The 25,927-nt window shown below is 36.1% G+C and overlaps 1 protein-coding gene across 6 annotated transcripts in view; it reads right to left on the bottom strand.

The window, feature by feature from the left end:
- Window positions 1-25,927, bottom strand: part of ARHGAP24 (Rho GTPase activating protein 24) — a 527,517-nt gene that overhangs the window by 178,304 nt on the left and 323,286 nt on the right. Inside the window, exon 1 of one of the 6 annotated variants that reach the window (XM_011532300.3) lies at window positions 1-25,927. This exon is cut by the window's left edge and continues 3,658 nt beyond it; it is cut by the window's right edge and continues 19,530 nt beyond it. The exons of the other annotated variants lie outside the window; for them this stretch is intronic. The gene's annotated coding sequence lies outside the window, so the exon portion shown is untranslated. 6 annotated transcript variants of the gene reach the window in all.

The following is a 25,927-nucleotide window of genomic DNA, read 5'->3' as shown; positions in this document are numbered from 1 at the left end:
AGACAAGTATTTTTCTAACACATTTCCCCTGCCACTCCCTTCCATGTGGCTTTTTTATTTAGGCCTTAGAAACAACTCCAAATGATAATACTTATAAGCTGTGAAGAGCAAATACTGTCGAAACACTGAAAGTCATTTAGGCATAAAAATGAAAGTAATCCAAAATGTGAAAGCTTTTAGCAACCATCTTATGTAGATGTTTAAAGATAATCTGTATGAGGTCTCTTAACCTATTCTAGAAAATGTGGCACAGCTATAGAGTTAAAACCATGAAATTAAACACCTTCTGAGCAGTCATAATTTACTGTATTTCTAAATATAATTGTGTTTTTTTGCTGGATGGTAATATTTTTCTAGATGGGAAAGATGTACTTCTTAATGCCTTTTCTATCTTAAGATGTAAAGAACCAATGTCTTACTTTCATTCAAAGTTTCCTAAATACATTTAAGTGGTTTCAGAAAAAGAAAAAGAAGAAAGAAAGGGAAGAAAGGGGAGGGGAGGGGAGGGGAGGGAAGGGAGGGAGCTAGGGAAGAAGGGAGAAAGGCAGGAAGGAAGGAAGGAACCTGAAGATTATCCCTTTGTGAACTCCGGAGAAGGAATTCCTGGGCACTTAAAGCTTTAAGATGTACAAACAAGGTCATTGAACATATTTGAAATCTTTGTCAAAATACAGCCTCGTAGTATAATTGTACCCCCTCCCCAAACACACACACCTAAAGCATAAGCCATTTTAGTCAGGTGGCTCATGGCCAGGAAAGGCCCTCAGGCACCCAGCTGCCTGAGCTGAGTGATAACAGTGTCAGCTGCTGTTCCATCAAAACACTGCATGTGGGGTTCCTTCAGAAAGCCTGGGACACATGGGAACATTGGTGCTCCTGTTGCCACCAACTGAATCCTTGAGGGAAAAGCCTTCAAAAGCATTAGTGTCAATGCCCCTAGTTCTTAAATGACTAAAAGTATATTCATATGCCATGATGCAATCACACTGAAATTAGAGGACTGTGTTAGGATTTTCATAAGATATTTTATGATACATTACTGAGTAAGGCATATTAGAAAATAGTAGGTACAATATGATCCGAATTTTGTAATAAATATTCAATATATAGAAAAATCTGAAAATATGCACTATGATGTTAATAGTTTTTATCTCTAGGTAGTGAAATTACAGCAATTTTATTTTCTTTCTGATCTTTTAGCATTTTCTAAATGTTCTTCAATGGCCACTACTACAATGTAGTGAAAGAAGGAAGGAAAGAAAGAAAGAAAGAGCAGAAAATAGTAACTCTAGTTCATAATAAAGAGATCATTTTTGAAGTTTTTTTGACAAAGTTAATTTGTCATGCTTATAATCACTGCCAAGTGAAAAAATTCCAGTTTTCAGACATGTTATTACCATTACTCTCATCATCTGCATTAAAAATATTCATGGGTACACATAACAAAATTCTAGATGCTGCTGTCCTATAATATAAGGAAATATAGTGTACTTTGGACTTCACTGATTTTTAAAATATAAAAAAGTGATACAGGGAATATGGCAGGTGTGTGTATGTGTGTGCAGGAGCAAGTGCATATAAATTCAAATATAAAGAGAATAGATATGGTATAAATATAAAGAGCATAATACATTCATGAATGTATAATCATAGTCTTGGGGTAACTGCTTATTTCTAAAAAAGAAATGGTGAACTAACAACACATGTATGATCAAGAAAATGTATTGTCTTCTAAAATATTGTGTTGCATGAACACGTATTTCAGAGAGATCTCCTCTGTAACAGCAACATATATTGGTTTGGAGGTGAGCAGGGTGCATGGGGAGAGATTACATTGCTGATGTTACCTGTGTCTTATTTTGTATTTTTGTTTGCATTCTTTACATCTTTCTGACATAACCAGGAGACAGCTGGTAAATAATTCAGCATTACAAGAAATCAACAAACAGCCTGTTAATTAAATGGCAGACTTGGGTCCTCAATGTAAATCTTCTTGGGAACAGAGTCTTCAGCACAAAAGTCTTAAGCCAAGTCAGAATATTTGGACTTGGCTTGTTATTTGGTTTGTTATTTCAACAAACCAAAAAACTCATTTTTTGGTTTGTTGAAATAACATTTGAGGGACTGGAAAAACAGAAAGACCAAATCCACATTAATTGAACATTTCACTTTTTAATAGTTAAGTCATAGCCATGTGTTTCCTTTTTAAATTGAAACAAATTTTCCTAACATGCATATATGGAGAAAATGCTCCATCAGCTGACCAAGGCTACATTTCAAAGGAAAGGGATTTATTCTTTAACTAGAAAGTCAACACAAATGAAATTGTAAGTTCACTATGCTCCTCAGATACTATTGAGCTAGAGCTCAAAAATATAAACCTGTAATATTTTCAAAACAACAATCACCAATAAACTCTCTTAAGAAAAACAGTAAATACTTTTACATATGTTTTATCTTCGCTTTGGCCTGTAACCAAAATAATGCATAGGTTTGCATTATTCCTACTCTTTAAGTAATAGTGTTATCATTCGAGTTATTTTTGGAAGCTGAATAAAGTTTGAATACACCTAAATTATATTTTTATGTAATGATCTGATATTATTCTAAATCTCATCTTGGTTGATTTAAAAACTAATTAAAAAATTAATAATTTATGCCTTCATATAAAAATAATAGGCTGGGCATGGTGACTCATACCTGTAACCCCATCATTTTAAGAGGACGAGGCAGGAGGATCATTTGAGGCCAAGAGTCCAAGACCAGCATGGGCATGGGCAACACAGTGAGATATTTTTTCTACAAAGTATTTTTAAAAAATTAAACAGGCATGATGCCATGTGCTTGTAGTCTAGAGGCTGTCCAAGAGACTGAGGCAGGGAGATTACTTGAGCCCAGGAGTTTGAGGCTGCAGTGAGCTATGACTGTGCCACTGCACCCCAGCCTGGGAAACAGAGTGAGACCCTATCTCAGAATAATCATAATAATAGTAAAATATTTGTCTTATGGATTATATGTTATCATTAAGAAGACAACTTTTTCAAGTTTAATCTACTCAACGTAATGATCATATCTGTTCAAAATTTAGGAATTTACTATGAAAACAAGTTTCTATTTAAATTTAAAGATCTTAATATTAAAGAAAATTATATCTATAGGCTCATCACCTGTACAGTATGCCTATTTACCTGCATATGAATATAAATGCATATATATGTCTATTCCAATCTTTTTCATGGGTAGAGCTTTATGTGGTTGTAGTCATAGTACACATATACATTTTTTATTTATTATTTCACTTAGAATATTTTATAAGCATTTTTAGTTGTACCTCCAATCTTTAAATGAGATATAAAACACTAGGTAAACTGTAAAATAGACAAATAAAATATTTATATATTTGTTATTTTCAATGCCTGCAAAATATTTTAAATTAATATGATATAGCTTATTTATACATTTCTCTATTTGAAAGTACATATTTGTTTCCAGTTTTGTTAGTAAAATTATACTTTTATGCTACTAAGTTTTCTACAGATTTCTTTTTTAAGACCTTTTAGAACAAATTTCTGGAAAAATGAAGCAGTGGATCAAAAAAAGTCTACTCTTGGTCTCTCCAAAGTTGAAGAACAATTCATCATGGTGAGTGTTAGCCAAACTCCTCAGTGTCACTGTATTTCAGTCTCTTTTAAAATTATTACTATTGAGCAAATATGTATTTTTTAACTTTTACTTTAGATTCAGGGTATATATGCATTTGTTATATAGATAAATTGCATCTCATGGGGGCTTGGTGTACAGATTATTTCACCATCTAAGTAATAAGTATAAAACCCAATAGTCAGTTAGATCCTTACCCTGCTCCCTCCTTCCAGCCTCAAGTAGGGCCTAGTGTCTGTTGTTCCCTTCTTTGTGTCCATATGTACTCAGTGTTTAGCTCTCACTTATAAGTGAGAGCATGTGGTATTTGGTTTTCTGTTCCTGTGTTAGTTTGCTAAGGATAATGGCCTCCAGCTCCATCTGTGTTGCTGCAAAGGATGTGATCCTGCTCTTTTTCATGACTGCATAGTATTCCACAGTATGTATGTATCACATTGTCTTTATCCAGTCTACTGCTGATAGGCATTTAGGTTGATTCCATATCCATGCTATTGTGAATGGTGCTGTGATGAACATATGCATGCATGTGTCTTTATAATAGAACAATTTATATTCCTTTGGGTACATACCTAATAATGGAATTGCCAGGGCAAATGGCAATTCTGCTTTTGAGTTCTTTGAAAAAAATGCCAAACTGCTTTTCACAATTGTTGTAATAGTCTGTTCTCGCATTGCTACAAAGAAATACCTGAAACTAGTAATTTATAAAGAAAAGAGGTTTAATTGGCTCATGGTTCCATAGGCCGTACAGGAAGCATGATGCTGGCATCTACTTGGCTTCTGGGGAGGTCTCAGGAAATTTTCAATCATGATGGAGTGCAATGGCACGATGTCAGCTCACTGCAGCCTCTGCCTCCTGGGTTCAAGTGATTCTCCTGCCTCAGCCTCCCGAGTAACTGGGATTACAGGTGCGTACCACCACGCCCAGCTAATTTTTTGTATTTCAAGTAGACATGGGGTTTCACCAAGTTGGCCAGGCTGGTCTTGAACTCCTGACCTCAGGTGATCTGCCCGCCTCAGCCTCCCAAAGTGCTGGGATTACAGGCATGAGCCACCGCACCTGGCCAGTCTATTTTTCAAAAATACAAATTTGCAGTATAGAAGAGCTTTCTTATGGTATGTTAATAAATTTGTACTAAATACATTTTTCTTTTACTCATTTTTCTTTTTGCTACCATTGTACATTTCAACAGAGAATTAGAAAAACAAGGAAAACCTAACTACCACCAAGAATCAGCAACAAAGGTGGAAAAATTACTGGAATGGGAGTCAGCCAGATCCAGCCATTTCCCCAACTGAGCAACCTTGGGTAAATCACTTTCCTCTCTATGTTTCAATTTTCTTAACTGTCAAATGAGATTGCAATCAGATATTGGATGTGGAAATGAGATGTAAACTGAGAATCTAAAGAGTTGTCATTATATGACAGTCTGCACTAAATTTTATAAATTTGGCATTACATTGATTTTTAAATGAACTCCATGATTTTTGCTGCCAGGCAATTCTAAGTAATAACACAATATAAAGGCATATGGCCATCAGCATATACCAATATTTATTCATAAAGCAAAGGATAGAGGAAGGATGTGTAAAAATTTAATTTATAGGAGTTTCCATACAGCTTTTGCAGCTGTACAACTTTTCAAACTGGCTAAGCTATGGCTCTCAAAAAAGTTATATCTTTTGAAAACTACCTCCCTCCATAAGCCCTATGACGTTTCTCTTTAAAACAAAACAAAGCAATATAACGGCAATCTGTTGTGAAGAGTGTTGCTGTGACATCTTGGGAGAGAAGGAAAGACAAAGAATGAGGAAGTGGTCACAGGCAATAGCAGATGCAATAGACATATCTACTCACAACAGGGAATCAATAAACGTTAACTGGATATAGAGAATAAAAGAGAATTATTTCACTGGGAAGGAAGAGAACCCAGTGTAGAGAAGAAATTTGAAATTGGAGCCCTATTTCTCTCCAATGAAAATATATATTATCTAAAACAAGTTTTCAACTTCTCACTAAAGTCCTGACTGTTGTGGTCAGCAATATCAGGAGCAGAGGGACGCATTTAAAAGGACCAGGTGACACCTAACTGAGGCCCTTTTGATGATCAATCACTCTCTGCTGTGGTAGTGAACATTTCTTTCCTAATTTACATGGTCTCAAATTACGCTAAAGTGGTCAAGAGAATGACAAGAACCTATTTGACCTCAGAAGTCAAATGCTTTGCCTTCTTCACCACGTTTCTGAAGAAAAAAACACTAATTATAGACTGATGACTTAGTGGGTATAATTATTTTTAATGTTAGCTTGTGTGATGGTTTTGTGTGAGCTGGAGAGACGATTTTAAGTATTTTCTGTGGTGCGGGTGGACAGGCCTCTGAGGAGTTGATTTCACCCCCTGCAGGTGGGCAGGGGTCCCAGATAGGGCTCAGTCCTTGAGAACCTCTGGTCTATAAACCGGTCTTTGTGGAACCAGGTGAAGCCAGTGTGAACTCACCTGGGGGTTCCCTTATCTGCATTATTAGAGAGATTATTCTACTTCTGCATTCATTCTACTTGGTTATTTTTTGTCATTCCCTTTTTGTCCTTCTCTGCCATACAAATTTATGCCAAAGTTGCAACTTCTTGATATAATGTCATTTAAACCATCTGCATATTTTCTATGTGCCAAGCTCTATTCTAAATTAAATAATCTTTATTTTTAAAAAGGCCTTGGCTTATGAAATAAGACTTGGGAAAACTCAATATCACTCTATCGTGATATCAGTATCTTCTAGTAAGTGGTCAATATTATAACATTTTCTTAGATCAAATCTAAAGAGTGATAGGGACTTGGATTTTAAAAGTTAAGATGGTTGGAATATCAGATACAGATTATGCTAACTTTAAGAATTTCATCAAAACAAAGCAGTGACAACTGGGACAGATCCTAAACTAGACCCCAGGATCTGGGATACAAGACCAACCTTTTGTATTAAATACCCCAGTTAAAGTCTACATAGAAAGGATTACCTTCACTGTACTTTTTACACTTAGTTTTCATAATACAATCAGATGTCAAACTCTTTGTCCTAATAAAATGAATTATGTGGAAAAAGTTCCACTTTTTATTATTTATCAAATACATAATTCAGTAAGGTTTCACAAATTGTATGATGTCTTCCCCTAATTTGCACCCAGCACTTACTTCTCATTTAAGGATATCATGGGCACAAAAACATGGATATCCATATGCAGAAAAATGAAATTGGACCCTTAACTCACATCACATACAAAAATTCCTTGAAATGGATTATAGAATTGAACATAAACTGTAAAACTACTAGAAGAAAACATGTGAAAAAAGCATTTTGACATTGGTCTGGGCAATAATTTTTTTGGATATCACTCCTTATAAAGCACAGCTGACAAAAGCAAAATAGATAAATGGAATTATATCAAACTAAAAAGTTTCCCTGTAGCAAATGAAACAATCAACAGACTGGAGAAAATCTACAGAATGGGAGAAAAATTTGCAAACATTTGATAAGGAGCTAATGTACAAAATATATAAGGGACTCAACTTAATAAAGAGAAAACAAATGACTCAATTTTAAAAATGAATAAAGGACTACTTGAATAGGCACTTCTCAAAGGAAGATATACAAATGGCCAACAGATATATGAAAAGATATTCAACATCACTAATAATCGAAGAAATGTAAATCAAAACCACAATGAGTTATCTATTACTTCACACATATTAGAATGTCTATTATCAAAAAGACAAAAGATAATAAGTATTAGGGAAGATGCTGAGAAAAATAACCCTTTGTACCATGGGTTGGAATGTAAATTGGTACAGCCATTACAGAAAACAGTATGGAGGTTCTTAAAAAATTAAAAATAGAATTACCATTTGGCCCAGCAATCTCACTTCTGGGTATATATCCAATTAAATGAAATCAGTGTCTAGAATGGATATGTGCACTCCCATGTTTATTGCAGCATTATTTACAATAGCCAAGATATAAAATCAACCTCAGTGTCTACTGATGGATATAAAAAATGTGTTATACATATATGTATACCAAATGACCATACGATCATAGTTATTTGCTTTAATTTTGAAAGAAAAAGATCCAAAAGGAATAGAAACTAGGTAAAATAACAAAAAAAGTTTTCTTTCTTGAGGAAACTTTCTTTATTGTATATATAATGTTGAAAACTTAGCCTTAAAAAAGAAGGAAATGTTGTCATTTGTGAAAACATGAATGAAACTTGGGGGCATTATGCTAAGTAAAATAAGCCAGGCACAGAAAGGAAGATATTGCATGATCTCAATTATATGTGGAATCAAACTCATAGAAACAGAGAATAGAATGGTGGTTGCCAGGAGCTGGGGAGTAGTGGAAATTGTGAGATGTTGATCAAAGGGTGCAAAGTTTCAGTTAGGCAGGATGAATATGTTCTGGAGACCTAATGTACAGCATGATGACTATATTGAAAACACTCTAGTGTGTACTTGAAGTGTGCTAAGAAAGTAGATCTTAAATGTTCTGATATGGTTCGGCTCTGTGTCTCCACCCAAATCTCATCTTGAATTGTACTCCCATAATTCCCACGTATTGTGGGAGGGACCTGGTGGAGATAGTTGGATTGTGGGGGTGGTTTCCCCCATGCTGTTCTCGTGGTAGTGAATAAGTCTCACAAGATCTGATGGTTTGATAAGGGGAAACCTGTTTTACTTGGCTCTCATTCTTTCCTGCTGCCGCTATGTGAGACATGCCTTTCACCTTCCACCATGATTGTGAGGCCTCCCCAGCCACGTGAAGCCATAAGTCCAATAAACCTCTTTCTTTTGTAAACTGCCTAGTCTCGGGTATGTCTTTATCAGCAGCGGGAAAATGGACTAATACAGTAAACTGGTAACAGTAGAGTGGGGTGTGGCTGAAAAGATACCCGAAAATGTGGAAGCGACTTTGGAACTGGGTAACAGGCAGAGGCTGGAACAGTTTGGAGGGCTCAGAAGAAGACAGGAAAATATGGGAAAGTTTTGAACTTCCTACAGACTCGTTGAATGGCTTTAGCCAAAAGTCTGATAGCCATATGGACAATGAGATCCAGGCTGAGGTGGTCTCAGATGGAAATGAGGAACTTGTTGGGAGCTGGAGCAAAGGTGACTCTTGTTATGCTTTAGCAAAGAGACTGGTGTCATTTTGCCCCTGCCCTAGAGATTTGTGGAATTTTGAACTCGAGAGAGATGATTTAGGGTATCTAGCAGAAGAAATTTCTAAGCAGCAAAGCATTCAAGAGGTGACTTGGGTGTTGTTAAAGGCATTCAGTTTTACAAGGAAAGTAAAGCATAAAAGTTCAGAAGATTTGCAGCCTGACAATGTGATAGAAAAGAAAAACCAATTTTCTGAGGAGAAATTCAAGATGCAGAAATTTGCATAGGTAATGAGAAGCCAAATGTTATTTCCAAAAAAAATGGGGAAAATGTCTCCAAGTTATGTCAGAGGTCTTCATGGCAGCCCCTCCCATCACAGTCCTGGAGGCCTGGGAGAAAATGGTTTCGGGGGCTGGGTCCAGGGTCCCTGGGCTGTGTGCAGCCCAGGAACTTGGTGCCCTTGGTCCCAGCTGCTCCAGCTGTGACTGAAAGGTGCCAATGTAGAGCTCGGGCCATGGCTTCAGATGGTGAAACCCAAGCCTTGGCAGCTTCCATGTAGTGTTGAGCTTGCAAGTGCAAAGAAGTCAAGAAATGGGGTTTGGGAACCTCCGCCTAGATTTCAGAAGATGTATGGAAATGCCTGGATGCTCAGGCAGAAGGTTGTTGCAGGGGTCGGGCTCTCATGGAGAACCTCTGCTAGGGCAATGTGGAAGGGAAATGTGGGGTTGGAGCCCCCACATAGAGTCCCTACTGGGGTACCTCCTAGTGGAGCTATGAGAAGAGCTATGAGAAGAATCTGTCTTCCAGACCCTAGAATGGTAGGTCCACTGACAGCTTGCACCATTTGCCTGGAAAAGCCATAGACACTCAACACCAGCTTGTGAAAGCAGCTGGAAAGGAGGCTGTACCCTGAAAAGCCATAGGGGTGGAGCTGCCCAAGACCCTGGGAACCTACCTCTTACATCAGCATGCCCTGGATATAAGACATGTAGTCAAAGGAGATCATTTTGGAGCTTTAAGATTTGACTGCCCTGCTGGATTTTGGACTTGCATGGGGTACTCTGTAGTCCCTTTGTTTTGGCCAATTCCTTCCACTTGGATCAGTTGTAGTTACCCAATTACTGTACCCCCATTGTATCTAGAAAGTAACTAACTTGCTTTTGATTTTACAGGCTTATAGGTGGAAGGGACTTGCCTTGTCTCAGATGAGACTTTGGACTGTGGACTTTTGAGTTAATGCTGAAATGAGTTAAGACTTTGGGGGACTTTTGGAAAAGCATGATTGGTTTTGAAATATGAGGACATGAGATTTGGGAGGGGTAATGGGTGGAATGATATGGTTTGGCTCTGTATCCCTACCCAAATCTCATCTTGAATTGTATTCCCATAATTCCCACATGTTGTGGGAGGAAACTGGTGGGAGATGGTTGGATCATGGGGGCGGTTTCCCCCATGCTGTTCTCATGGTAGTGAATAAGTCTCATGAGATCTGATGGTTTGATAAGGGGAAACCTATTTCTCTTGGCTCTCATTCTCTCTCTTGCCACTGCCATTTGAGACATGCCTTTCACCTTCTGCTGTAATTGTGAGGCCTCCCCAGCCACGTGAAACTGTAAGTCCAATAAACCTTTTTGTTTTGTAAATTGCCCAGTCTCGGGTATGTCTTTATCAGCAGCATGAAAATGGACTAATACATGTTCTAACTACAAATATATATATATATATATATATATAAAATAAATATATATATATTTATATAACTAAGTTGATGGATATGCTAATTAGCTTGAGTGTGGTAATCATTTCACAATATTTACAATATCAAAACATCAGGTTTTATGCCATAAATACAGACAATCTTTCTTTGTCAATTATACCTTAATAAAGCTGGCAGTGGGGGGAAGAAAATATAAAAATCAAATAAAATTATTTTTTCATAAGTAACAAAAAGTAGGGCTTATAATTATTTAGGCAGTTTTCACTTTGAAGAATTATACTGTAACTCATACATATGAAAAAGACTGTAGGAATTTTACAACTGAGGACACTGTCACCATCAGACAAAATGTCCCTTACTCAAATTCACATAGATGTTGACCATCTGAGTCAGGCCTAAAAAACACAATGAGATTCTCCATTTGGTTATTATTTTATTTTACTACAAAGTTTTGTCTCATGATTCCTACTCAGGTAGTTAGGCCTTTTCCCTCCACCCCCCATTATTATAGCTCCATTGGTTTAGATAATCAAAGTAAAGCAGTTTATGGAGAAATTCAAATGAACTGCTTCCCTGTTGCTCCCGTGCACACCTCCTATGTGAATGCTGGGTGCACTGAGGTATACTAAGGTAGTTACTATTCTGTTGTGGTTTTCATAAAGAATAAGACTATTTCTGATTGTCATCCAATGATGAGCAATAGTCATGCTCCTAACTCATCTTGGAACGAGGTACTTCCTTCATCCTGGAATAAGATACCTCCTTGAAAAAGAAAATAAACTCAGAAGAAGGCTCTCAAGGGGTGAAAAAAGAAACTGTTTTCTGGTTGACAGACATATGTCTAAGCTTTGAGGAATGTGAAAGTGTTAGAAGAGTCTCCTAGGTAACAAGTTCTAAGATAGGTCCTCAACCACACTGAGGAAGAAATGGGGTCACGGTGTAATTGAGGCAGGTGACCCTGGAGAGTAGGTGGTTATTTCACGGCCAGATGATTCAGTTCCTTGTTGTTATCCTTTGCTTTCCCTGGGTCTTTTGAAGAATCCAGCCTTGTATCAGACGTTCTATTGGCTATAATCAGGAAAGCTATATTGATCAATTATGAAAGCAGAAAGCCCTGTGAAGTAATTGTGGTGATGAAAGCAAACAGCTAATGGAAACATATCTCCTGAAAGGAACTCTCAAGGAACACAGGGAAAGAGAATTGGAGCTATGAGTCTCATGTGAGACTTTCCTATTATTGACAATCTGCAGAATCTGGGTTTTATTGTTAAGACTGGGAGTGGTTTCCTTAACACAGGAGATTTTTTTTTTTAAGGCAAAAAACTCTGGGTTAGAGTTTCAAATGTTGGGTTAGATTTTATCTAGATTCTGAATGTAGTGTGAATTAGTTTCTCTCTTTGGAAATTAATGGATGGTATGAAAATAATCTTAAAAGCTCAAGATATCACTGTCATAGTTATTAAAACCCCCATAAACCTATGTTTGAAATCTACCTTATAAGTAATAAGATTTACTTTAATTAGTTATTATCAAGTAATCATGCTATGAAACAGATATGAAAATAATTTTTTGGAAAAGTGACAGGTTCTCACTTACTTGGCGCTCCAATACTTAACAGAAAACACATTTATTTTTTATTTTTATTTATTTATTTATTTTTGAGATGGAGTCTCACTCTGTCACCCAGGCTGGAGTGCAGTGGCACAATCTCAGCTCACTGCAACCTCTGCCTCCCGAGTTCAAGCAATTCTCCTGTCTCAGCCTCCTGAGTAGCTGGGACTACAGGTGTGCACCACCATGCCTGGCTAATTTTTGTATTTTTAGTAGAGACGGGGTTTCACCATATGGGTCAGACTGGTCTCAAACTCCTGACCTTAGGTGATCCACCTACCTCCACCTCCCAACCTGCTGGGATTAGAGGCGTGAGCTACCACGCCCAGCCAAAAACACATTTATTATAAAGGTAGAAAAAACTAATTATGTTACCAGCTTTTATTTCTCTATACATATATATTAAGCACAGAAGAGCAATATGACTTTGTTTAAAAAAGATGCTAAAATCAATTTTGGATGTAACATGTTTTGATTTTTCTCTGCATCTTCCTGATGATTGTGAACTTATCCACATAATAACAAAATATGTGAAGACTTTCTCCAATCTATAAATAATTACTCTGAGTTGGGATTGTATCTTCATTATAAAAAGTTTCTATTTGTGTTCCATTATCAGTGGGATAAAATGATAAACATTTAAGTAATGGCATAAAAAATAAAACTTTAGGGTGAAACCTACTTAGAAATTGTGTCATAGAAATGAGGTATCATGAATGTAAGCGGCAGTGGAGGTGGGAGGTATCCGTGAGCTCCCCTTGCATATTAAGTTTCTCCTGGGCTGGGCAGCTCACTACCCTAGACTAGAACTCTCTTTCCATCCATATTCACTAGCAACTGGATTCAAGTTCTGGAGTGAACTCATACCTGGGGTGAGGAATAGTGAGCAAACATTTACTAAAGAGAAGGGAAGCTTTAAAATTTGCATCATTTTAATCTTTGTATTTAAAATATTTTATAGGAATTCAACATCTTAAGACAAAACCTTTAGACTCACATTAGTCACATCTCTAGAGGTAATTTCAAATGCTGCCATTTTTAAATAAACTTCTCAAGAGACACACAGAAATCATTGGCTCTTGCATTAGAAAAGCTGCTAGTAGCCATGTAGTTCAAATCCCTATCTTGTCATTAAGTTAAAAATATTGATAGAATTACATTTTTTTTCTGTTAACTATAGTTGAGCCTTAACATTGAAAGAGAGCTCTTCCAAACCTTTCATAAATGTGGAAATGTTTGTATAGGCATTACAGGTCATGAGCCATCAGGTTCACTCATGAAAAGTACAACTACCAAGTAAACATGGAGGGTGTTTTGATTAATGGACATGTTGCTTTCATACTATCTTCTCTGTTTTAATAAAATTAATAACATTAATAAATTGTTTGTGACAATGTCCCAAATTTCTAGTCAACATGTGTTATAATAATTTTATATCTCTACAAACAAAAAGAAGTGACACTGAAGAAACTTTTTTTTAATTTGATTGGGTTCAGAGGATAAAATGCTGATGTTTAGCTAGCTTTTGGTAAAACAATCTAATGTTTTCATTAAAACTATTTACTACATGTGAAGAGTGCAGTACCACTAGAATAGATGAGACATTTGAGGACAAAAGATTTTCTGTATAATGCCATTGGAAAATTAAATGGTATAAAGGGAGTCTAGAAAAGTAAGAAACTGGGGCATAAAACAGCTAAATGACCTGCCCAAGATCACTCAGCCATGTTGAGTGGATGAACTGTGAGTAGTAATGTAGGTTGTCTGGCCCCAGAATCCACGCATCTGACAACGGCACTATTCTGCACTATGAAGCACGTTGATGCATATGCCTGTACTTTGCTTTAATTGTGATCAAGGACAAAATGGATAGCATCCTATTAGGACATGGCCTTGCAGAGCACTATCCTTACTCAGGATATTATTCCTGTTATTTCACATGTGAAGAAATAGAATCATATAAAGGTTAAGGACATTTCTCAAAGTTACATGGCTATTTTGAGCTGAAAATTAAAGATGAAGAAGATATTGTCTAACAAAGTTGGTAATTGACTTACATGAAAGGCAAGGCTGAAATTTTTAAAAAGAAAGCTTGTGTAACATCTAGCATTTATTAAGCATTGATCACGTTCTGAGGACTTTGAATACATTTTTATTATCCTCTCGACAGCCTTGAAAGATAGACTCTCATGTTATCCAATTTTATGATTTCATAATATGTTACAAATGAGGAAATTGAGTCTCAAAAAATTTTAAGTGACTTGCCCTCAATTACATGCTGGGTAGGTTATAAATCAGGATTTGACTCCAAAGACCATGTGCTTTCAAATATACCTTTGGAAGACCCCAGTTTATATTTCCATGCTAGCAGTAGATTATAGGGAAATGACAGAAGGAGAAATCCCTTAATTAGGCACACACATTTCCTGCTTCTTGCAGTCTGTCCTGGACATCTACCCCTCAGCCTGCATGGCTAATACCCTTTCACCATGCATTGCTCCTCTGATCTGAAAAGCCTTATGATGTCCAAAATGAGGGGCTTATTTACCTTCTGAGGTTGCCTCACTGGAATGCTCTGTGAGCCAGAAATTTTACAAAACAATAAAGGATGTTAGAACTAAGCATTGAAGGTCCTGAAGTAGGTTCTATATCTGAAAAAAAGAGTGGGTGCTAACTAATGTTAAATAAACTTTTATAGGCATTAATATATTCCGTTATATTATAACATTTTGGAAGTGTCTATGCCTTGAATGGAATAAGGTAATTCTCTCTCTTATTTCAATACTTACTTGATTAACCATATGAATAATTCATTTGCTGACTCTGCCATTAACACCTTGAAATATGAATATATAACCAGATGGGTATGTATATTTCTTTTCTTAATTTTTACAATAATATATTTATTCTCCATCTATTTAAATGGAAGAGTTCACTTGTTTTTTAATTTGCACTCATTTTAGTACATAATATAAAAACCCCCAAAATGTTAAGAATGTTGAAAATGGTGGCTAGATATATGTCAATCAATGTTTATAGTGATGACTAGAGAAAAAAATGTCTTTGATCTTGTTTGTGTTTGTATTAATAGAAAGCCCTTCTATCCTAGACCAGTTGACCCTGAGGCTGGTATCTCCCCTTGTTTACCTAAAACTTTAACAGGTGTGAGTAATGATTTTCTATGCAATGCTTATGACAGGTACTTACTTTAAATTGGATGAAAGGTGGGAGGAATTGTGTAAACAATTCTGTAATGATCCTTTTTATAACTTCTAGGAAGACATAGTCCCCAGTTCATATGTAACACAGAGCTTGTTTTCTGCTGATAGACTAATCTTTTAAATCACCTACCTTCTCTCATCAAAGAAAACTTTTTTTTTTGCTGTTTTACTTAGTTGCTATTTCTTTTGGGTTATTTTCTTTTATAATTAAAGCAAACAATCACTTCCATATGGACACTGAGATGGCAGAACAGGAATGAAAGCAATCAGTCAAAAAGCTCAAAACAGGACTGAGAAGGAGCTGCTACACCAGGACCAACTTTCTTTAATTCTAGACTCTGGATAATTTATCTTGATCTTCCTTCTCTCTATAGTTTTTTGGAATACAATATTAAGAGTCAAGTCAGAGAGGAGATAGAGTGGAGGTAATACTGTAGAATGTGTGGAAATCCACCTTGCAGACCACCCCTCCCTGGGACAGGCTAAGGAACACCGGCAACTGATAGCATAATTCTTTCTTAATCTGAAGAAACTCAAAACACATTTGCCTAAAGCAAGTGAAGGAATATTGAAAAGAATAAGATGTAAATAAATGAAGGATTTACAATGAACCAAAAAGAAAAAAAAGGTTAAAGTGGCAAAGTGTTTAGAGCAGTTGAAAGGAAGATAATTTACAAAACAATGCTGCTGGGAGTTGAAAAGTAAGTTAACATCTCTCTAGATAGTACGTTAGAATGCCAAGGTCTGAAAATGCCTGCTTATAATCCCTAGGACTTAACATTGAGAATCTTGCTTTATATTGATGCCTGCTACAGAATTTTCTCAAAAGGGTCACAATGAAATAAAAAGCATATTTTTTTCGAATTGGGAGAAAAATAAAATGAGAATGCTGAAACATCTGGTCTCTTTCATTACAAGAAGCAACCGACAACTATGTAAAACTGTCAGAGCAAGCAAATAAAAACATGTATTAGAGTGAATTAGTAATAAAAAACTCTCAAGAAAGACACCTCAACACTGTATTTATAAAGGCTCAGGGAGGGTGAATTTATTTGGGATACAGGGGGAGACAAAAATAAAAAAAGTGCCTTGAGGGATACAGAGCAAAGTTGCTGACATCAGGGTAAGAAAACATACTCTCCAAGACTAGCAAGTCATGGAAGCTTTGGCAGGACCTTGGAATAGCGGTGCTTGAAATGCCCCTGGGAGGTTACAGGATGTGGAGGAGAATGGTGGCTTGGTACAATTCTGAGGTCAGCCCCTGCGCCTCTGGGCTCCAAGGTTGGATGTAGGCCCAAATACCCTAGTGGTCTTGGCACAGAGGCAACAAAACCATCCGTCATCAGGATAGTATGTGGCTTGGACATTAATCATTTCAGCCAAGTGTGAGTTGAAGACCTGAGAATCCTCTCTATGAAATTTTAACACAACCCTAGTTCCCAGGGTGGAAAAATAAGGCAAGGAAAGACAATAATGGGTATGATTGAAGCTTTATTTATTCAACATCCTGGTGACTTGGATTTCAGAGTCTGATTTAAGATAATTAGAAAAACAATAGGTTGTTTGGCACTGTATCAGGAGTGGGATAAAAATTATACTGAAACCATCATTCTCAGCAAACTAACACAAGAACAGAAAACCAAATACCACATGTTCTCACTCATAAGTGGGAGTTGAACAATGAGAACACATGGACACAGGGAGGGGAACATCACACACTGGGGTCTGTTGGGGGTGGGGAGGTTAGGGGAGGGATGGCATTAGGAGAAATACCTAATGTAGATGACTGGTTGATGGGTGCAGCAAACCACCATGGCATGTGTATACCTATGTAACACACCTGCACGTTCTGCACATCTATCTCAGAACTTAAAGTATAATAATAGTTTTAAAAAATTAATTAAAAAAGAAAAAAATTATACTGTTAAAAATACACAATTTTACAAATGCTCTCTGACTTGAAGACACTAGCATTAGCTGAAAATATCTTTGTGGCATTGGGTGCCTTTGATTTGGTTAAAAAGGTAAATAAAATTATTTTAGAACAGCATAATATAGGTCTTTTGTTAAGTTAAAAAGTGTATTATGTATGTCTTTTCTGCCACTTGATAAATGCAAGGCTTTATTCAGACTGATGTAAATAAAATTGGGAAAAAGCCATATGTAGCAAAAGCTACATATTTTTGGGCAGTCATAAGCTTTCTCTTAATTACCTAATTTCCGAGTTACATTAGCATTCTCTTCTTAGAAATGGAAAACTGGAACTAGAGATTACCCAAGTGAACTTATGAAAATAATAATTATTCAACAATTGAGCTGGTGAACATCTTTATTTCTTAACTCCCATTTTTGTGCATGTTTTTTCAGATCACAGTGGATTATATAGCAACATTCTCTTGTTGAGTTCCCAATCCAGCCCCCAATTAAAAAAATATGTCATAGGGAACAACTGCTACCCATGGGAGGGTGTCATGTTCTTCTAGCATGTGCAGACTGCTTTCTAAAGCCTTCTCTCAAATGCCCTTAGAAGTAGAATGTGTAATTTTAGGCCATGTAATTCATGATGGTCACACATTATTGCCAAACAGCATATTTTCAACAATTATACATATTTTCAACAATTAATTATACTAACTAAGCTTCTGTGAACTTAAATGGTAGCAAGCATTGCTTCCTTGCTAAGAAGCTTGTGATAGAGTCCTCTAGATGTACCTCCCCTTAGAATCCAGTTCAAGCATCCCTTCTTCCCCTTTAGACCTTAGATGAGTGGAAGCCAAGACTTAACGACTTGCAACTGATTTAATTTATCACTCTTTGAGGTCAGGGGTAAAAATACTCAATTGGGACCCATCAGACTGAACCAAATTGGAACAAGTTTAGTTTTCTAAACTCAAAGTTCATGTTTCCTGAAAAGCTTTGAAAATCTGGTCAAATGAAGCAGCTGAATGGGGTAGGCTGCCAGAAGGAATGTAATGCTGTATGTATGAGAGAGACAAATAAGTATGTCTGAAGAAGAGATACTTAACCTGGGATGCATGCCTCCTGAGAGTCTAGGAGGCCCTGAAATCATATCCAAAATTCTGTGATTATGTACACATGTGCATTCTTCTAGAGAGACGATCCTGATTTACATTAAATTTCCAAATAGGCTTGTTAAGAACAATTGCCAAGGGTTTAGGCACTGCTAGGTTCTGGCTGACCTCTTCTTGAAGCTCAAAGTTGATCAACATCATTCTTTGTGGAGCAGGAAAAGTTAATGAGCACTAATGGGGCATCAACGAAAGGCCAAAGGAAAAATCCGAAGTTCAGAAAATTTACATTTTAATGCTGCGGCACACCTGAGCAAAGTATTTCAAGCCATAAAGCCTTTGCTAGTATGCTACTAATAAAGAACCCTACAACAGCAGGGGAATCATTTGTGATCAAGACACATTTTAATATAATCCCCAATCAACACAGCTGAGGAGAAAATTTTACATCTTTCTTTCCAGATGGTGCCATTTTATCAGAGTATCACTCCTTGGTATCTTCAGTTAATTAAAGTCCTTACTGTTTGTTAATGGCAGATTTGTGCAGCAGAAATGACTCTGTAACAGATGTCGGTAAATTTATCAAAGCGGCTGGGTAATCATCCTGACTGTGCTCTGAAGAAGTATTTCATTTTCACCCACATTGACTCTTAGAGGACCTAAATATCACCTTTGCCTTTAGTGCTTTTCGAAAGGACGCAAGGGGAATGGGTGGTGTTGGGAGGCGGGAAACAGTGAGATTATTGGTCAAAGTCATCAATATTGAAAGGAATAATCGGTAATGAAGGCATTCTAGCACAGTTTCAAAGACGAAAGTATCAAGATGATATATTTTTATGAGACTCTCCCTATAAGTCTCACCACAGGCTCCCTAATCAACTTGCATTCGTATTTGCTATAAACTTGTAGCTCAAATAAACTTTTATCTCATACCTTTGTTCTTGTTTTGTCCGCATGTATCTGCAACTAAGATGGTACCTAATATAACTAGAGATTAAAGGAAAGAGAAATAGAAGCCATTGACTAACACAAAAAGCAACAAAAGCTATGGTGGGTACATTATCCCACCTCCAAAGCTCCATGGGTCTTTGAACTAAAAATTGCAGATGGGAAGTTTTGTGTATACTGGAATATTGTCTGTTCTTTGACAGTTTCAGAATGCTGTACATTCTGAGTGTACAGCTAATGTCTTCAAGAGAAAAACCCAGGAAAGGGTTAGAATAGAAAGCTTACATTCAAATAAAATAAAATATTTTGAAAAATATAAAGCCCTGTACAAATCCAACATCTTTTAAAAATTAATTGATTGAGGTCTCTCAGAAATTCATCAGTTTGTGATATCCTGTAAAATGATGACAAAATTCTTATCTGACTTAGTAATTGGATTTATGTTTCTGAGCTGCCTGCTCCACTGTATTTTCTTTAAATAAGCCATGCTCATTTATATACTGTTTGGTAGTATTACCTAGCTCTCTTAAAGAGAAGAAAATGACCTCCTTTCAGTTAACAATGTATATTTTAATGATTCATAAAAATCTTGTTTTATGTAGCATTTTATATCTAAATTTACATAGTATATTATATTTTAGTATAAGTTTATTGCAACTATTACAACTACTGATGATCCAAGTACAGTACCTGTTGTAAAGATGATGAAGAGCTGCTGCAAAGAAACACTGTATCATTCACTAAGTTATTGGGTCAAAGGACAATTAGACCTCTAGTTGGTCCAAGCTTTTTTATCACAATGTTCATTATACTGCTCATTATAATGAGTTGTACAAAATTTTGGAGATTTTCCTAAATCTAATTGTATCTGCAATCCCATTCTATAAAACGCTATTTAAGGAATTTGTCAATACAAAAGGTTAGCCACACACCTGTAAGCCCAGCTACTCAGGAGGCTGAAGCAGGAGTGTACCTTGAACCCAGGAGGCGGAGGGTGCAGTGACCCAAGATTGTGCCATTGCACTCCAGCCTGGGTGACAGAGCAAGACTTCATCTCGAGGAAAAAAAAAAAGAAAAAGAAAAAGAAAAAAAAAAGAATTTGTCCATTTATAAAAAAATATAAAAATTCCAATCTTCCTGGCACTGGAAACGAAGTGTTTGAAATTTATTATGAAGGAAAATATGTTTCAGAACCATTAGGAGCCTCTGACTCTAATAAGAATATGCAAAGATCCATGGCACACTGTTTGCAAAGCCACATTCTGTAAATCCCACAATGGGGATCACACAGAAAAAGGTGTGAACTGCCCTGTAAATCACATGGAAAAGAAGGTGTGAACTGCCCCCTAACTAATTAACCTGGGCAAATGGCACAAGGGATATTGTGGCTATAAATTTTAGAAACAGAAGAATCTCAATATTTTAAAAGATTTTGAGGCAAATTAAGCTTCAGGCCCATAAAACATAAGGAAATAGATACAAATACAAAGAGTTAAAGAAAGGAATAGCAAAATGAGCATCATGATGAAGGTATAAAAATTGTTCTCAAGCTGTAGGCATGAAAGTGTTACGCTGTCCCTTCTTCCTCTTCATTCCAGTAATAGGGAAGACGCCCTGGAAGGGATCCATCTTAGACAGCAAATGAATTAAGCTCTAATTTAGTTAAGAACAATATTACTAGCACTAAGCAGTCTTCTACAGCAATGTATTTTCTAAGATTCAGAAAACTGTAATACACTGAAACCTCAATTGGTATAGGAGGTGACTGTGACTGTCTTTGTTCTCACACATGGGCCTCAGTAAGGCACAAAAGCCAGACCCAATGTAATATTTTGGTATTCTGAAGTTCACATGAATACAACCACAAAGTATAATGTTAAGGACTACATGTTGAACTCCTACTGTGTGCCAGACAATTTATATACCTTAATATATCATTTGTTTTTAGCTTCATCAATTATTTTTATAATTATTATTGTTTTGCAAATGTGAAAACAGAAATTCATGGATACTAAATGACTTCCTCAGGCTGTGCTAAAGAGTTGGAAATTGCAAAGCAAGTCCATCTAGCTCACAACCCCTTTATCCTTTTTATTCCAATGTGCTGCCTGAAACTACCTCGACTTACCATACAAATTATTTTTCAAACTGGATATTAACTACTTTAAATCTGATAGTCTCAATTCTTTTCCTTTATAACTAAAGTTTCGGTTTTTTGTTTGTTTGTTCGTTTTTGAGACGGAGTTTTGCTCTTGTTGCCCAGGTTGGAGTGCAATGGTGCGGTCTCAGCTCACCACAACCTCCGCCTCCTGGGTTCAAGCGATTCTCCTGCCTCAGCCTCCCGAGTAGCGGGGATTACAGGCATGTGCTACCAGACCCTGCTAATTTTGTATTTTTAGAAGAGATGAGGTTTCTCCATGTTGGTTAGGCTGGTATGGAACTCCCGACCTCGGGTGATCCACCCGCCTTGGTCTCCCAAAGTGCTAGGATTACAGGCGTGAGCCACCATATCCAGCAAGTATTATTATTCTTTATCCATCATTATAAATTATCTCCTTCTCTGAACATGTGCTAGTTCAGCTCTTAAGCCTAACTCTTCAGTTGAGTCACAAGTGTTCTGCTTTCAGTGCAGCACAGTTAGGTAGACATGAGTTATTTCATAGCTCAAAACTCTTTCTGGCATTAAAACAGAAGTAGGCAGTGAATATGGAGGGTGCTATCTTCATTGAGAAATTTTTATATAGGTGGGTCATATAAATATTATCTTAATCATCACAGTAAACTTTGGAGTTGGATACGAGATTATGAGAGGTAAAGTCGTTTGGTTAGCGCTACATAGCAACTGGTGGTCATATTGGGAAATCAAGAAGCCAGTGCTATTAATTCTTATCCAAACATTATCCATGAAGGGGCCCTAGTTAATGAATTTTATTGATTTCCATCTTCTGTGACATTCACTTCATTATAAAATAGCTTAGTTGAATTATTAAAAACTTGTTACATACACGGCACATTCTTCAGAGTCCAGGTTCACCAAGTCATCTTTCAAATGTCATTTGGCTTTGTATGTATCTTAATTTCATGGAGAAATACCATTTTATTGATGAAAGTAATCCAGCCCAAATAAAAATGGTGCTAGAGCTGTGGTCTTCTCCATCATTCTCTTGAGCTTGAATAATGTAAATACACCTATCATACATGGATGCATTAATAATGGGTTCACCATGTCTGGCTAACATATTGCCAGGGAAGGAATGCCTGCCTGAGATGGCCGGCTCACTTCCCAAGGGGGATCACAAGCCGTGTTTTGTTGGAATAAGTAGCTGCTGCCTACACAAGCACATGGTTTGATCTACAGGGAACAGTTATATAATTTTCATATGATTTCTAAAGTACAGAGAAATGTAACAGTCTCAGCAATCCACTTCAGTTACTCCTATTTTACTTAGGGAATCTCATAAGACACCATCTATACATATGCCCAAGGGATGACACTGTAAATATACATATTTCAATTTTTACTTGGAAAGAAAATTCCTGTAGCAGAGCAACTGACCAACCATATGGAAGAGAAGCCTTATATCATATTACAAGTATATGAAAAATGTTATATAATATTTAAGTAAGTACAGCAAGACTTGATAACTTTTCCCAGGCTTTTACCTAATTTAGACTTAGACCACACTTGAAATATAGTTATCAATATTTTTCATTTAATATTTCCTAATCATACAACATAAAGCACTATTTGTAGGGCACAGACCCTTCTACTAATCTGGTGGGCATTATAATAGGAGAATCTGAGTAAAAAGTAGGATATAGGTTTAGCAAATTTATCACCTAATTATACTGTTATTTTTAATGCACTTTAAAATTGCTATACTTGAACAAAAAAAGGATAAAAAATATAAAACTATAGATAGTTTAAAATGACTATTAATAACTGAGACATAACCATCCATAGTTCACATTTGAGGCATATGTTGTGTTCATCTTAGAGCCGTACCAAGCTTTGTGTTTTTATGTATTTAACTAAAAACGTTTTGTGTTTTTATGTATTTAACTTAAAAAAGGACGCTTTAATTTGAATGATTTCTTAATATGAATGATCTTTTTCTCCTATTGAGAACTTTCAACTGAAAATAGTATGCAAGCTGCATATATTTATCTTATGAATATCTAGGAAATAAACTACTTGTGCTAAAATGTTCTTGAATAATATATAAGGCAAACATTAACATTTTTAAAATTCCCAGCATTTAGCAGAGGGCCACATGGTTATAAGCATTGTTTCAATGTAGACTGTTTCAGTTGCTATGCAGCAGAAATTGTTCCAGCCTTTTGATATGGCTTAATGAAATAAGATTTGTATTCTAATAATTAAGTTTTATTCAGAAGTTTCTTTGAGCATATTTTCCTCCTCCTCTTTTTTCTTCTTTCTCTTCCTCCTTTCCTTCTCTCCCTTTTCTTCTTCCTCTTCCTTCCCTTCCCCCTCTCTCCTCTTCTTCCTCCTTTTCCTCCTCCTGTTCTTCTTCTTAATTCCTACCTTATGTCCAGCAATGGTTTAAGATTTTGCTATTTTACCATTTGGGCCCTATTTCATTCAGCCTGGGACCTATTTTCTGCTTTGCTCTATCTGAGCAATTCTACTCTCTGGTACAAGAGCAAAGAGCTGGAGGAAACTCAGTCACCAATCATCAGCACAGTGATTCTCAAGCCCGATTCATTGTCACAATAACCTGGGAAACATTTTTCTCTTTAAGCTTTACAAATTTTGAAATAATTTTAGACTTAGAGAAGAGTTGCAAAGGTAATATAATAGAGTTCCTGTATACTCTTCACCCAGCTTTATCTTGTGTTAATATCTCACATATCCTTGATACAATTATCCAAATTAAGCAATTAATTTTGGTACAGTATTATAAACTACACTACAGAGATTACTTTGCTTTCACCAGCTTTTTACTTGTCATGTTCCTGGATCCAATTGAAGATCTCATGCTGCATTTAGTTTTTATGTCTCTTTAGTCTTCTCCAATCTGTGACAATTCCTGTCTTTGCCATTTATGACTTTGACATTTTTGAAGATGACTAGTCTGTGATTTTGTAGACTGCCCCTGAATTTGAGTTTGTCTGATGTTTTCTCATCATCAGATTGAGGTTACACATTATTAGAAATGATGACACAGAGAGGATGTGACCTCTCAGTAGGTCACTCAAGAGGCACGTGATATCAGTATATTACCAGTAGTATTAACTTTGATCACTTGGCTAAGTGATGCTGCCAGGATTCTGCATTAAAAGCTGCATCTTTCTCTTTATAGTTATTAAATATTTGAAAAGAGATACTTGGAGTCTATGCAAATTTACTGGTTCCACTTCAAATTATGCCCACCAATTTTAGCATTCATAGATAGATTTTCCTGTAGCAATTATTATTTTTAGAGTGATTTCTATATTCCTTATTCTTTGGATATTTGTGATTTGGAATTTTCTATAAGAAAGAATATTCACTTCTACCTCATTTAAAATTTTTCAGTAATTTATTTCTATTAGTATAGACTCATGTAATTTTATCATAGTCCTTGGGTTATAATCTGATACTATCTTTCTTTCCTTGCTCAAATTATTCCCACTTTGAACATTAGAAGCTCTTTCAAGTTGGTTAGTGGGCCCTTTCAATATGCCACTGTTTTTGTTTTTTGTTTTTTTTTCTTAGCAAATCCTTAAAATCTGGTACACAAGGTGTCCCAGATTCTCTGCACCTGCCCTGGAATCAATGAACTCTCCAAGGCATTCTAGTTATTGTTTTTTGAAAGATGATGTTTAGAAACCAAAATCTGGACATTAAGTGTGCTCACTGTTACTGGGGCCTCACACTTTGCAGCCTCTCTCAGTGTATACAGCTAGGAAATATATGCATGTTATGCTAATTCATGTGCACACATACAATTCTCAGCATATATTTTAAAAAATTATTCCATGTTAATATCTCTGACTTCAGTACCATAGGGTGGTTCATACTAATTTTCTAATTTTCTGTCCTCTTTATTTGCATGCATTTTTGTAATTGTTTTCTTTGCTTTTAAAGCCTAATATTATTAAAATATCTTTCATTTTTAGAATAGTGTAAGCACCCATTTTATTTCTTCTATATCCAAGCTAATTATTAATACTTTTTTGTTTGCTATGAAAAAATCAAAAAATTAAAAAGAACTTTGTTTCCCGATTCTTACCAGAAAATCTCCCTCAATTTGCTACAATTTTTAACTATCATTTTTGCCAACTTTATTTTGAAATAATTTTACCCTCATTTAGAAGTTGCAAAAATAGTACAAAAATTTATTCTGTAACTTCGGTAGCTTCCCCTACAGATAACATCTTTGGAAACTATAGTAAAATGAGCAAAACCAGTATTACATAATTCACACTTGCACAATACTATTAACTAAACTCAGACCTTATTGGAGTTTTGCAAGTTTTTACATGCACTCATGTTTTTTGCATTGTGGGGAGGTGTACAGTCCTGTGGAATTTTGTCATACATATTGATTTGTGAAACCACTATGGTAATCAGGACACACAACTGTC

Source organism: Homo sapiens, chromosome 4 (genome assembly GCF_000001405.40).
Source record: "Homo sapiens chromosome 4, GRCh38.p14 Primary Assembly".
Lineage (NCBI taxonomy): Eukaryota > Metazoa > Chordata > Mammalia > Primates > Hominidae > Homo > Homo sapiens.
Note: the sequence above shows the minus strand (reverse complement) of the source record. Positions and strands in the feature narration are given on the sequence as shown.